This window comes from Homo sapiens, chromosome 4 (assembly GCF_000001405.40).
Source record: "Homo sapiens chromosome 4, GRCh38.p14 Primary Assembly".
Classification (NCBI taxonomy): domain Eukaryota; kingdom Metazoa; phylum Chordata; class Mammalia; order Primates; family Hominidae; genus Homo; species Homo sapiens.
In genome coordinates, this window is record NC_000004.12 from 17,403,561 (window position 1) to 17,419,451 (window position 15,891).

Genomic DNA, 15,891 nt, shown 5'->3' on the forward strand with positions numbered 1-15,891 from the left:
GAACAGAAAACCAAACACTGCATGTTCTCACTCATAAGAGGGAGGTGAACAATGAGAACACATGGACACAGGGAGGGGAACATCACACACTGTGGCCTGTCAGGGGGTGAGGGTCTAGGGGAGGGATAGCATTAGGAGAAATACCTAATGTAGATGATGGGTTGATGGGTGCAGCAAACCACCATGGCATGTGTATACCTACGTAACAAACCTGCACGTTCTGCACATGTACCCCAGAACTTAAAGTATAATAATTAAAAAAAAAATGTTTTCTGGGATACTTTCCACACAACTGGAACTTCAAAATTGAACAATGGCTACTGTACCCCGATGCAATTACTGGGTACCTCCCTTGTTGGGGTGAGATCCTGAAAGCCTGTTATTGTCATTTCCTAGAGCCATTGCTCTCCCACTCTCAATCAATCTTCCTTATCAGACTACCATTCCATTTCAGTTTTCCTTCTTGTTCATGGGCAGGTGAACTTAGGCCTCTGGCCATTGTGACTTTTCATACAACCCTTGGTTTGCCTCCATTATTCAATGAGAAAATAGGTTTTGTTTTAACACTGGGCAAGCATCTGGAGTACCAGAAACCTGTCTGCAGAAAAGCAGCAGCAATATGAGGTCTCCTAACCTCACATAACATGTTTAAGGCAGGTAAATATATCCCATTTATCTTAAAGTCTCTTCACCTAGCATGGTGCCTACAATTTAGTGCTTTAAAAAGGGAAGGAAGAAGGAGAAAGGGAGAGAAGGAGGAGGAGAGAGTACAAAGAAACCCACTATATTAATAGGTGTATCTTAAGTTCAGAGTGGCAGAATAAATGCACACAGACACTACTTGGGTAAACCAAATAAAATTTCTTATCTCAAAGGTACAGAGTTGGGAGTGGTCATTCAGGCTTGTAATTCCAGGACTTTGGGAGGCCAAGGCAGGAGGATTGCTTGAGTCCAGGAGTTTGAGACCAGCCTGGGCAACATAGCAGGACCCCATTTTCACAAAAAAAAAAAAAAAAAAAACTACTAGTAGGGTATAGTGGGATGTGCCTGTGGTTCCAGCTACTTGGGAGGCTGAGATGGGAGGACGGCTTGAGCCCAGGAGGCTGAAGCTAAAGTGAGCCACGATTGCACCACTGCTCTCAGCCTGGGCAACTGAGTGAGACCCCGTCTCAACCAATAATGTTAAAAATTAAAGGTACAGAGGAAAGGCAGCTGCATCAGTACTCACTAAAAAGAGATCACCAACACTTTTCAGGAAGATGCCCTTGTCCTAGAACCCAGGCCTTAACCAGCCAGCTCCCTGTTACTAAGTCATCCATTGCTAGGGAAGTCTGACCCAGCCATGCAGCTGCCCCTGCCCCAGACTGGAGCAGTTCTAGATGTCTCCTCACTGCACCAGGAGCAGGTGCACCTCATCAGTCTTAAAGCACATTGTGATAAAGCAATATACATTATGATTGAAAATATGGTACGATGTTGTATAGTCAAACATGAGCATGGTCATTAATCATCCTCAGTCCCCCAGGCTAATGCGGCCTGGCCTAGTTGTTACACTTTCCGAATTTAGAGCTAAGGAACTAAAACAAAGTTCAGCCACACAGATGTTTCTGGAAGTCATGTTCAAGGCTGAACATGAGCCAACCCTGAAGACAAATGACAGGGAAAAAAAAGAAGGAGGAAGAAATGAAGGAAGGGAGGGAGAGAAGGAGGAAGAGGAAGAGGAAGGAAGGAAAGGAAGGAAGGAAGGAAGGAAGGATAACCAGATATCTCAAGTATCTTACTCCAGAAATAAGATGGAGAATGTAGTGTGCACTCATACCCAAGTTTCCTCTCGTTCAAGCTTACAGAAGGATTATTCTTCCTTACTATCTTTGTAATTAGGTGGGATCATGTGACAAGTTTGGTTTAAACCCTTCATGTTCTCTTCCCCTGCTGAGATGACCACATGGAACTCAGAGGCTTTGTGATGAGATGGACATGCCATGATTTTGACAGTTTGTCCTGGAAAGGTGCTCAGAATCTCAACCCCCAGAATTCAATGAGCAGGAAATATACTTTAGTTAATTACACCACTGAGATTTCGGGGGTGTTATATTAATGCAGCATCACTCATGTTAACCTGATTCATATAGGAAATTAAAGGCAAAGCTTGCCAAAACCAATTTACAAGAGAATTATTTAAAATTTTATAAAGCAAAGTTGCACAGTGGCTGAGATCTAATCATAGGCTCAATAAATACTTGCTCAATATTGTAAGAATGTGCCAGGTGTGGTGGCTCACACCTGTAATCCCAGCACTTGGGGAGGCCGAGGCAGGTGGATCACCTGAGGTCAGGAGTTCATGACCAGCCTGGGCAACATGGAGAAACCCCATCCCTACTAAATACAAAAATTAATCAGGCGTGGTGGTGCATGCTTGTAATCCCAGCTACTTGGGAGGTTAAGGCACGAGAATTGCTTGAACCTGAGAGGCAGAGGTTGCAGTGAGCCAAGATCATGCCACCACACACCAGCCTGGGTGACAGTGCAAGATTCCGTCTCAAAAAAAAAAAAAAAAAAGTTTTAAGGATGGTTTTTCTCAATGACTAATTAATAGCATGCCTCGGCTCCTATGCAAAATATGTTTCCCTGGGCTCTCCAATTTGCATCTTCCATCTTCCTTTGTCTCAGAGAGTGTTTGGGAGGACCCTGTGAGATGATACAATCTTTCAATAGTATCAGTCAGTAAATGCTAGCTGTTAGTGTTTCTTTTGTTTTTGTTATTCCTCTAAACTCCACTCTTAAATTTTATCAATTTCTCTCCCTTGCCCAAAGCCATTTCTTCTCCTCTCTACATCCAAATCTCATCCCCCTTTGCAACCAGCTCAAGTTTTACCTTCTCAAAATTTGACTATTTCATTTAGCTTGATCTCTCCAATGAAAATAACGAATACACTGAGTCAATACCACCCAACTCAATCAATTGGGTGTTTTTTTATTTTTTAATGTGTAAAGTGAGCAGTGGTTCTCCCCATCAACATTTCTCTATCATCTGGGAAATATTCTACTTTTCTTTCAGTGAACAGTTACTGCCCCCAATGCCAACCCCTTTGGTCAGTGGATCATAGAAGCTTGAGCCCCCAGCCACAGAGGTGGGTATTGTATCCATTCTGAACAGGTCTTAGTACTTTAACCTGATCGAGCATAGTGATTGGCCCAAGAACTAGCCACATGACCCATGCCTAGCCAACTATAATTCTTATCCTGGTTTTCTCAAATTGGAGTTGGGGTAAGAGTCCTTTCTTCTCAGGCTACTCTGGGAAGATGTGAGTCTGGAAGCTACTAATCATTTCTGTCTCTCCTCCAGAGAAGGCCAGACACCATAAGGACACTGAGGCTGACATTCAGAAAAAAGTCAAGCCCAAGGAAGACAAGTCCCTGGCTTCAGTTTTCGCAAGTCATACCCTCTCTTCCCACCTCCCCAAGAAAATTAATTTCCCCTTTTACCTAAACTACTTTAAGTAGAATTTCATCATTTGCAAATAACAATCCCAAATAATTCAAAAGGTAAGCCCTTTGAGGAAAATTCAATTCACAAATCTGACCAACCTGTCTGAGCACCCACTATGGGCAGTTATAGCTTCCATTATCAATAGTATAATTTTAAATACAGAATAGATGAGAAACAAATGTGATGAATGTGAAATTTCTTCATTTATAAAAGAATATATATCACCTAGGGGGCCTTCTAAGATCCTCATATTTCCATTTGGAAGCTAGATCTTGCAACCAAAACCTGCTAGGCAAGAATACAGAACCTAGCTAGACATAGACACATGGCCTGCTGCCTTCCTCTGAATCTTGCCTGCCGGTCTAATGAGCCCCCAACTCCCAACTGCACCTCATATATGCACCCAGCATCCCCAACTATGCAGATAAAAACAGCTTTTGCAACAGAATGCTCATCACCTCATATGTTGACCATAAGGACAGATTTGGGCTCCTTGTAGGCTTGGGGAAAGTAGGATAAACTGGGGGTGATATTCTAAATATTTAACAACGAGACCTGCATGGGCACAGAGCAGTCAGAACAGAGGCTAGCTATCAACACCTCTACATTTGAATATAAGCCCCAAGGTGGAGTGGGTGAAAAGCTAGGACTTCAGATTGCAGAGCAAGCTCAGGTTTGGGGATTGAGAGAACCCCAATAGGTTGACACTGAGAGGCCTCCAAAGAGACTTACATCACTCATTCATCTGCCAGTTGTGAGAACAGAGGATATGGGGGTAAATCAGACACGGGCCTCTCTGTCTCTACTTTTATAGCTTTCTGATTACTGCCACTTCAAGCTAACACATTGCTTTGTTACATGTGCTAATTCCTTCAGTAGGGTGGTAGCCAAGGTCCCCGCCCTAGGTACCTTCCTATCTTCTTTTGGTCACTATGCAAAAGTATTTCAAACACAATTACAGGCTGTGTACATTGTAACTTCTATGTTTCAAAGAATCAGAGTTCAGTAACCCAAAAAAGTGTCCTAAGCCAATTTAAATCTTTACTCAGATTCTTGAGAAAAATGGCAAAGGACACTGCATTCCCAATGCACCGTAAAACATTTTAAATATCCTTTGGGGACAGTTTTATTACTGCCATTCTCTCTCTCCATGCCATCTCTCTCCTTCACCCAGCAGTAGACTCCAGAAAAACTTTCTGACAGTGACTCCTAAAAAATCTCCTCTCCAGCTTTAAATGTTCCCCAAACTCTCCCTGCTAATATTCTTTTGCCCGAGTTTCCCAGTCATCATAGAGGCTCCCAGACTTTTCTTGTCTCTTCCTCCCATCACACTGCCCTTCTGTTTTCACCTGCTCTTATCTACCAGCCTCCCAGCAAGCAGAAACTGGAGGGCTTGCTGGAGGGCTGCTTCTTCCAGCAAGGAGAAACGGTGACTCAATACTGCCCAACTCACTTTCGCTCCTCACAGAAGGGAGCTTGTGAAGCCCTTGCTTTTGAAAAAAAAAAAAAATTATACTGGAGACTTTCTGGAGAATGGAATGCTTCATCTGCTTGCACGTGTCTCCAGTTCACATGAGTTCTCATTGTTTTCCTAGCTTTTCCATTCCCAGTTCCTGGAGGTGTCCTATTTATACTATGGAAGAACCCTTAAAACAGCCCCTGCCAGGAGGCTGCCTCCCCACAACACTGACCAGGGATTGCTATGTGGCCCTTAACTAAATCACACTCCCTGCTCAGTTAGGAAGAAATCATCAAGGTGCCAGATGAATCTCCTTCTTCTTTTTCCTTGTCTGAGCTCTAGAAGAACAAAAGGCCCCAGAACAGGAGGCCACGTCTTGTCTGGATTAAGGAACCTTGACCAAATAACTGGAAAATGTGAGTTCTGGCCCCATCCCCACCCTAGCACAAGCTGGGTGACTCTCGATACATCAGTTCCTTTCTCTTGGCCTTAGTTTTAGAATGTTGGACTAGATAGAGGGTTTCTTAGCAGTAGAAGGAAAGAAGTTTAAGCAGATTTTTTTTTATTTTACTTATTGGGATTGGTCATATGATTAATTGCACTTGGAGGAAAAAATCAAGTTACTAAAATAGTCTGAAAAACACTAATCTAGATGATATCACTAAGGTGCTTCCAGCTCTAATAGTCTAATAGTCAATGATTTTCTCCACTAACATCCCTTTACAGAAGTCTGCTACGAGCAATTTTTTTCATTTTTGAAATCAATCAGAGAATAGTGAGCAGTCACAATTGAACTTCCTTATACAACACTAATAAGGAGATGTCTTTAAGAAAAATCATTGCCTTCCATCCTGGGTTACATAATGAATGCCATTTCCTCTCTGGAAATGCTGATCTTCCTGTTAGACAGCTCAAGGAGTGGCTATTATTGAGTGGCCTTGGTCCTCTGGGATCCAACGAAACCACTGGCACCACTCAGATGACCAATGGCCTGCACTATGGCCATAACATAATCATGAGAGACTAAAACTTCAAAACCACCAGTAAATCAGGGAAGGGCAGTAACAAAAGGAGAAAGCTGAGGAATAGGAAGGGACATGGCTCTCACCAAATGATATCAAAGAGACTTAGAGACATGCAGCCAACCCGTAACACCTTCCCCCTCCATCCCTCTGCTCACCATTGGAACTTCCTGGTCTCTGATCCTCCTGCTTTCCTCACCTGAGCCACATTGACTCCCCAGAAGCTCAGCTGTTAGAAAACACCAAAATTCAGGCAATGTTGGTGGACTTTTACAATAATATTTTAAAGCCAAAAATAGATAAGCACCTTGGAGATCAAAAATTAAACAACTTTAAAGATAACTTTGGCTCCTCCTTTAAAACTATGAAGTGTTTAAAATAATTTTGAGATTAAAATAATATACACTTCATACAAAAATTAACCCAAAATGGATCAAAAACATGAATAGAAGAACTAAAACTATAAAACTCTTAGAAGAAAATGTAGGGCAAAAGCTTCATGACATTGAATTTGGGAATGATTTCTTGAATATGGGAGCAAAAGTAAATGTAGAGCAATTGGACTTCATTAAAATTAAAAAACTTTTATGCATCAGAGAACACTACCACCAAAGTGAATAGACAACCCACAGAATGGGAATAAATATTTGCAAATTATAAATATCACAAGGGATTAATATACAGAATATATAAAGAACTAATACAACTCAATAACCAAAAAAAAGCCTGATTTTTTAAAATGATCAAAACTTGTATGATATTTTCACACAGAAGATATACAAATAGCCAATAAGCACATGAAAATTTGCTTGACATCACTAATCATTTGGGAAATGCAAATAAAAACAAAAATGAAATACCACTTTACTCTGATTAGGATAGCTATTACCAAAATAAATAAATAACAAGTGTTAACAATGATGAGGAACAATTGGAACCCTTGTGTATAAATGGCGGGAATTTAGACTGATGCATACACTATGGAAAATTGCAAGACAATTTCTCAAAATATTAAAAATAGAATTATCATATGATCTAGCAATTCCCCTTCTAGGTATAAAGCCAATAGACTCAAAAAATAGAGACTCAGATATTTCTATGCCAATATTCAGGCAGCATTACTCATAACAGGCAAAAGGTAAAGCAACCAAAACAAAATGTGGTATGTACATACAATGAAATATTAATATTTAGCTTTAAAAAGGAATAAATTTCTGGTACATGCTACAACACAGATGAACCTTGAAAATGTTATGCTAAATAAAATAAGCCAGACATAAAAGGAAAAATATTGCATACTTATATGAGGTAACTAATCAAATTCATAAAGGCAGAAAGTAAAATGGTGAATACCAGGAGTCGTGGGGAGGAAACAATGAGGAGTTATCATTTAATGGGTACAGAGTTTCAGTTTACGGTGATTAAAACTTCTGGAGATGGATGGTGGTGACGGTTGCATAACAAAGTGAATGTACTTAAGGTGGCTGAATTATATACTTAAAATGGTTAAAATGGTAAATTTTACCTTATGTATATTTACAACAATGAAAAAGCTATACAAATAAAAAATAATAATTACACAGGAGTGACAGTGTTCACAGGTGGGGTCATCAGCACAGGTGGTGCCATAGGTGGGTGTCTGAGCCCAGGATAACTGAGGAAGGCTTCCATGCAGGGTGGGGACAGAAGCAGCAGCAGCCTGATGCAGGTGTCTGGGCTCCTGCAGAGCAAAGAAGGCACCCGCACAGCAGAAGGATCAGCTACAGCAGTGGAGGTTGGTTACATACTGGGTGATTGATCCCATCAGTAAACATACTAAAGATAATGAGCAGCAGGTTTCTCACTGCCACAGAAGAAACTTAAATATGTTAGAAAAGAGGAAACAAGAATGAACTTTGTGTTGTTAGCTTGTAACTGGAGGCATCAATGTGAACTCATGGCTTGCGATAGGTAAGTAAGTAGACGATAGATGAAGAAAGGAAAGAGAAAGAGAGAGAAAGAAAGGAAGGAGATGGGAGGGGAGGGGAGGGAAGGAGGGGATGGGAGGGGAGGGAAGGAGAGAAGGGGAGGGGAGGGGAGCGAAGGAGGGAAGGGCAGGGGAGGGGATAGATGTGAAACGGGAGGAGTTTTCCCTCATCCCCGTTGCAGGGCATGCAATGGGGGTGTAGCTCACTTCTTCAGTGCCCCACAGCTCAAACCAAACCCTTAGGGGGAGCATGCAGACAGGCAGGTCATGGGGAGCGTGGGCTCCAACCCCATGGCAGCATCTAGAGTTGAGTGTTTACAGTTCCCAAAGCCCCAGTGGGCATGTGTCACAGTGTGCTCTTTCAGCTTAGCCGTCCACAGGTGGCTTGTTAGTCAGCTCAATTAGACCCTCTGCCTTATTGCAAGAACAGAGGGCTTTCTGTATCCTGGGGTTCTTGCCCGTATGTACCTGAAAAATCAGATCACACATGAGCTTGGAGAATGAGTGCAAGGTTTCATATTGAGTGGTGATGTCGCTGGATGGGGAGCCAGGAGATGGATGAGTGGTTGGGCCACTCAGCAGCCAGACTCTCCTCTAACCACCCTCAGCCAAATTGCCCTTGGCGTCCACATTGTTCCACCATCAATGGACTGCCAGTGTCTTCTGGTGTGTTCTTCTGCTGGTGTGCTCTTCTGCCGGTGTGTTAGCCGCCATGTCCAGCTGCTTGTGTATATGCCTGCTAGTGTCTTAGGATTTTTATAGGCACAGGATGGGGACATGGCAGGCCACGGTGGTCTTGGAAAACGCAATATTTGGGTGCAAAAACAGAAGTGCCTGTCCTCACTTAGATCCATGGGCACAGGCCTGAGGGTTGAGCCCTTGCCAGGGACCCTACCCTTCTCTACCCTGCATTTCCCTGCCCCCCTCCCATATCAGATGGATACATACATACACACATACATAGAATGCAAATATGACTATCTGAGAGACAGAGTATGTGTATGCATCTTTCACCTTGCTCTCTCCACTAAGAGTACCTGAGAACAGCACTATCCCAAAAGCAATGAGAACAGCTACCATCCATATCTAGTTTCTAAATGTCATTTTCCAGTTAAAGGAATCAACATTCCTTGAAGAAGTGTCTGATTTCAGGACTGAAACAAGAAAAGTACAAGATGAGCTGGGAATGTCTTGTTCTAAAAAGTGGGAAAATGCTCAAACAATAATGGGGGCATGTCAAAGGATACGGGGGCAGCTTTAAGGGGTGTCACTTGGGGAAATTTGACCACCAAAAACATGATAGTAACAATATAGCCATTAAATAAATAGGAAAACATGAGTCCATCTGATATAAATAGATATAAAACTGGCCGAATAGTCCCAAAGACGCTTGTTTTTGGATAAACATAGACTAGAAATTGACCCTTCTACTGTTAAAGCGTGAAACCTGTATTTGTTTTATCCTAGTTCCTTCCTCAGGAAAGGACTTTCAGGCCTCTCAAAAAATAGTACTGAAGAACCGAAACTCACCAGATCACAGCACCTGATGCCTCATTGCCCCCTCCCTAGTTCCTACTTTCTTACACATTGTTACATTTCTTCCCTGCTATCTAAGCCCCTAGTTTTAGTGAACAGGGAGACGGACTTGAGGCTGAGTTCCCATCCTCTCAGATGCAGCACCCGATTAAAGTCTTCTTCAGCAGTATCTGTCATCTCAGCGATTGGCTTTCTGTGCAGCAATCAACAGGATGTAGACTGAAACCCTGGTGTTTTGGTAACAAAGCTCTAAAGAAAAACTTTGGTGATGAATGAACTTATACGAATTCAAAGCACTTCTCCATCAAATGCTTATTAAGTGCAAAGGAAAATGAGTAGTGTAATCGTGGAGAAGCCCTGCAGACACCACTGTGTCCAGAATTGGTGGGTTCTTGGTCTCGCTGACTTCAAGAATGAAGCTGCAGACCCTCACGGTCAGTGTTACAGTTCTTAAACGCCTAGCGTCTGGAGTTTCTTGTTCCTTCAGTTATTCAGACGTTCAGAGTTTCTTCCCTCTCTCCCAGTGGGTTCATGGTCTCTCTGGCATCAGGAGTGAAGCCGCACACCTTTGCAGTGAGCATTACAGCTCTCAAGGGCAGTGCAGACCCAAAAAATGTGCAGCAGCAAGATTTATTACAAAGAGGAAAAGAACAAAGCTTCCATGCTGCAGAAAGGAAGCCAAGCAGGTTGCCGCCAAGAGCTCCCCAGCCTACTTTTATTCCCTTATCTGACCCCACCCACATCCTGCTGATTGGCCCATTTTACAGAGAGCTGATTGGCCCATTTTACAGAGAGCCGATTGGCCTATTTTACAGAGAGCTGATTGGTCCATTTTGACAGGGTGCTGATTGGTGCATTTACAAACCTTGAGCTAGACACAGAGTGTTGATTGGTGCATTTACAATCCTTTAGCTAGGCACAAAAGATCTCCAAGTACCCAATAGATTAGTAGCTAGACACAGAGTACTGATTGGTGCATTTACAAACCCTGGGCTAGATACAGAGTGCTGATTGGTGCATTTACAATCCTCCAGCTAGACATAAAAGTTCTCTAAGTTCCCACTAGATTAGCTAGACACAGAACACTGATTGGTGTGTTTACAAACCCTGAGCTAGATACAGAGTGCTGACTGGTGCATTTACAATCCTTTAGCTAGAGGTAAAAGTTCTCCAAGTCCCTACCTGACTCAGGAGCCCAGCTGGCTTCGCCTAGTGGATCCCGCACAGGGGCCGCCAAGGGAGCTGCCCGCCAGTCCGGCACCGCGCGCCTGCACTCCTCAGCCCTTGGGCAGTCCATGGGACCAGGTGCTGCGGAGCAGGGGGCAGCGCCCGTGAGGGAGGCTCGGGCGCGGGCGGAGGGCTCAGACATGGCAGGCTGCAGGTCCCGAGCCCTGGCCCGCGGGGAGGCGGCTGAGGCCCTGCGAGAATCCGAGTGCGGCGCGGGCGGGCAGGCAGTGCTGGGGGACCCGGCGCACCCTCTGCAGCTGCTGGCCCGGGTGCTAAGCCCCTCACTGCCCGGGGCCAGCGGTGCCGGCAGGCCGCTCCGAGTGCGGAGCCCGCGGAGCCCGAGCCCACCTGGAACTCGCGCTGGCCCGCAAGCGCCACGCGCAGCTTGGGTTCTTGCCTGTGCCTCTCCCTCCACACCTTCCTGCAAGCATAGGGAGCCGGCTCCGGTCTCGGCCAGCCCAGCGAGGGGCTCCCACAGTGCAGCAGCGGGCTGAAGGGTTCCTCAAGTGCAGCCAGAGTGGACGCTGAGGAGGCGCCGACAGGGAGCAAGGGCTGCTAGCATGTTGTCACCTCTCAACATTAATGAAGTGGTCAAAGTGAGCAACCTCAGTTATTAGACAAAATGAAATGCTAGAGTGCAATCACAGCATCGTATCACTTTTGTGATATTCCTGCCAAAAAATTATAACTTGAATGTAATGAGGATGAAATATCAGGAAAATCTAGCCGGAGGGATATCATGCCTCGAATCTTCAAAAGTATAAACGTCATGAAAGTAAAGACAAGACTGAGGACTGTCAGACTGGAAGAGACTAAGGAAACATGGCAGCAAAATACAATGCATGATTCTGTACTAGATCCATTTGCTATGAAGGACATTATTGGAATGACTGTCAAAACTTGTCAGGTCTGTGGATTAAACATAATACATTAATATTGACTTTCTGCCTTTCATTATTATGTTGTAGTTGTGTGAGAAAATGCCCTTATTTGTAGGAAATAAACACTGAAGTATTTAGAAGCAATGGAGAATTAGTGACAAGTTTGTCAAATATCTCAGTGAGCGTATTCTTTTTACCATACTTGCAATACTTCTGTAAGTTTGAAATTTTTCTATTAAAAATTATTTTTAAAAATAATACAGGACATCCCATTATACATTAAATGTTAAAAGGACATAAAATTGTGCAAACCTGAGGAGCTAAACTTTCTTAAAAGACATATACATCCCCAAAAAAATACATCAAAATATAGTCATTGACTATAATTGAATTATGTGCAAGTTTTCTTTATATTTTTCAAATTTTCTATAAAAAGCACGCATTATTATTAGTGATTATGTCTTTTTTCTTTTATATAATTTAATATTATTTTGCCTCTTTGATGTTCTGCAATTTTTCTGTTACAGCTACAAATTAATTTGTTTTTATTAATTTTTTCTAAACTATGCACTCCTTTAATTAGACCTTATAGCTTTCTTTAAAAATGAAAACTTTTCCACCATTTTACCTTGAAGTGGTTCCTTTTCTCCATTATATCCAAGCTAATTTTCAGATGCTCTTATTAGATATTTTTAATCCTCTTTATCTTCCTTTTCTTATAATTTCTCTTTTATATTCATGGTTCATTTACTTAGCTTTGTTTCCACATTATTAATTCTCTCTTCAACTATTTCTAGTCTGCCATTTCATGAGTTGCTTTTTTTTTTTTTTTTAACTTCAATGACTTCATGGTTTTTTATTTCTTGAATTTCTACTTGGTCTTTGTCAAGTCCACCTTTTCTTTTCCCTTAACTTTCCCTTCTTACCTAATGATTTCTATTTCTTTCCTTATCTCTTTGAATATTATAAATACACTTATTTGAAAATCTTCCTTAGGTTATTGTATTACCTACAGTTATTAGAGTCTAAAGCTTAACATTTCTTGCATCTCTCTTATACAGAATTCATTTGTAATTGTTCATTTGCAAGTGTGATTCATCACACTTCTTTGTGATGCCATTTTCATTGTAGAATCTTATCTTTCCCAGCCCTAGCTTCCTTCCCAAAACAGTGCTTTCTCCCCATATGCACCTGGCCCAGAGGATCACCTGCTGCTTGGATTCCTGCCCTACACTCCTGGAGAGCCGCTTCTGGCCTCTACCATGACTCCACCACTGAGCACTGTACAGATCCCACCTGGGACTCCCATGACCTTTAATCAACATATCTGAAGCTCCCAGCTACTCCTCTCTGGATCCTACAGTAGAACAAGAGTCTCACAGCCAATTCCTGGCACCATCTTCTCCCTGCCATAAGAGAGCATTTATACCTTCTCTTGAACCTCTTCTTGGGTGCTGAGTTTTTCCTGCATGCCTGTTTGTGCTTCCTTTCTTGCCTGAAAACTACACCTAGGAAGGTGGAAGAGTCAGGTGTGGCCCCCTCCCACTCTGCCAGTGCCTCTACAGCAAGCCCCCCTACCTCTGCAGCATCAGGCATGGGGCTCATGGCTACAGCTGTCTGGCCACAGTTATCTACAGTGCCCTTCATCCTGTATACCAGGCCACCCTCATTTCCCTCTCTTGGCTCCAATTTACTTGAAGTTAAAAACTTTGTGTCAAAGGCACTAGGCTAAGCACTTTATATACTTCCCCTCAGTCACTGTTTACAGTTCTAGAAGGTCAATATTATTATACCCCTTTTGCAGATAAGGAAAAATAAGCCTTAGAGAGGTGAAGCCCCTCAAGAGAGGTCACATAGCCCAAAAGTGTGAAAGCTTGAACTCCAACCCAGGCCAGTGACTCTAAGTCCTTCACTGCTCTCTTTGCCCACATGGCCTTCTCCTTTGAAACATAAGCCAGGCACATCTCCCTTTCTAGAAAATGGCAAGTAAATCTCTAGCTTTCTTCTAAACTACTCTGCCGAGCATTTCAGGCACTGACTTCTGAAATTTCTTTCAGCCACCAGGAATATGCAGTCTTTATTAAATTAGCAAATGGCCCACAGAATAAAGACTGCATTAAAGTAGATCACGATGGGGCTTCAGCTTTTCCTAATGAAGTTTCACGTGTCCCTTCCTGAAAAAGCCAGTGTCAGGGTAAGAGGTGGCCAGATTCACTCGCATTTTTCCCAGGAAGAGCCACTTAATACAATAAAATCTCAGACCTGTCAGGGAGTTTGAGCACTGTTTCCTGGAAGGATGATTTTAAAGTTCTATTTACATTAAAATAACCTCCATCTCAACCCTCAGGGCTGCTTTCTATTGCAATTGACCAGGGAGGTAGAGATGCATTCCAACAGAAAGAAATGAAATCAGAATGAATTTGGCTGATGCTTAATCTCCTACTTTTACCCTTTCCCACAAGGGAGAAAAAAACACAAAACTGCCTTTTAAATTCTGCCAGGACCAAGTTTGATATGTGCACTGTCATTTCAGCCTCATGCGTATGAACTAAGAATCCTGGAAGACACCTGGAAGATCCTCTGTGCCCACCATCTTCCTGGCATAAAGATAAACCCACTTAAACTGAGTAGTATTAATTGGATGTTAGAACCATCTCACACATTAAAAACATAAAATCCCCATGCTCAAACACTTCTCACTCCTCCTCCTCATCCAATTTCCTAGTTTCGCTGCATATTTTACCGCTTAGACTTGAATAAAGGCATATAGTACTTTTTCAACTCTACCTCTGTCTTTGGTCCATAAGAAAGTTCAGGATAGGTCCATGTGTAACCAGAAGTCACCCATCAATGGTCCCGCTCACTGGAGCCAGGCTGAATCTCATGCAGGTCCTCAGATGTGTTAGGATTTCTCTTGCCTGCGGTCTTCATCTCTGCTACCCCTCTGCCTAAAGCAGGACTTCCTGCTTTCCTCCCCCTAATTGTAATAGGCTCGTTAGCTAATGCCTACTCACCATGCAAATTTCAACTCAAGAAGCCCTTCCAGAGCCTCCTCTCTGCTCCAGGGTAGGTCAATTGCATTCCCATACCACCTGTGCTTTCCACCCTGCTGGCACCATGAGGACACAGCACATAAGCCTACAGCCTCTAAGACGGCCGCTTTGGTTTCAACAAATATAAATTCTTTTCTATCTGATTCTCTGGTTGGAAAAGTGGCCTTGGATGAAACCATGCTCTGCAGGACAGTTACAAATGGGGCTTACAAAGGATAGAAAGGAGGTGAGTCTCTCATCCAGGTCTAAGACTACATTACAGAGCACTTGCTGCATGTCTTAAGCATGTGCTAATGCTTACGACAGTACTTATTAAATCATCAAACAGTTATAGAGGGTAGGTGTGGTTATGTCCTTTCTAGATGGGAAAACTGAGGGTCGGAGAGGTTGGGAACCTGTCCCCAGATGTCAGCAGTGGAGCTGGGTTCAAACCCAGGACTGACTCCAAACTCTCACACACCCCTCACATACTGACTGTCTCTGAGTGAGTATCCATTAGTCCAGAAGTTTCCTACCACTCTGGTCAACCCAGCAACTCTTGCACAGAGTCCCTGACAGAGTTCCCCTTTTGGAATGTGTTTGTTGTATTATTTAAGATATTCAATTCTGCTCGAGAAAATCAGAAATAACAAGAAGAATAAATGAAGCAAGCGTAGAAGCAAATAGCTTATGAGACAGAATTAAGCTTATGAGGCAGAATTCATTAGATGGGTTAAGTGTATATAAAGTAGTAATATAGGGTGACATGTTACCATAGATTAAACAGAGCATGTGTCTGCTGAGCTTAGAAAGAGATCGAAAGACCAAGAGGTAGCAAATATTTGAGAGTCACCAAATATACATGAGGCAAAGGAGTTTCCAAATTGTCATAATATATTCAATATACATGGGGCACTCAATATTTATGAGATCTGAAATCAGCCATCCATTGCTGACACCCATTCCAGCCCCACAAGTCCTCTGCCAAATGAAATCCAGGGCTGCTGGCAGGGTAAAGGGTGAGTTACCACCATGGGCCAGGTGTGACTGCCCCTGCATCTCCCAATAGAACAAGTTCACTGTGTTGGCCCAGGCACTTTTCATCTGCCAAGTTCCTTGTTCAACCTCAACTCTGATCTTGTAACCTAACCATCAGCAGGGAAGGCTGATGTAGCAAAGAGAGGTGAGGCTCTGCATTGCCCACTGTACTTTCTCTCTCTGAGCCCACATGGCAGCTCATGGTCCTTCTCTTACTACTATCAATTAATTCGAGTTAGC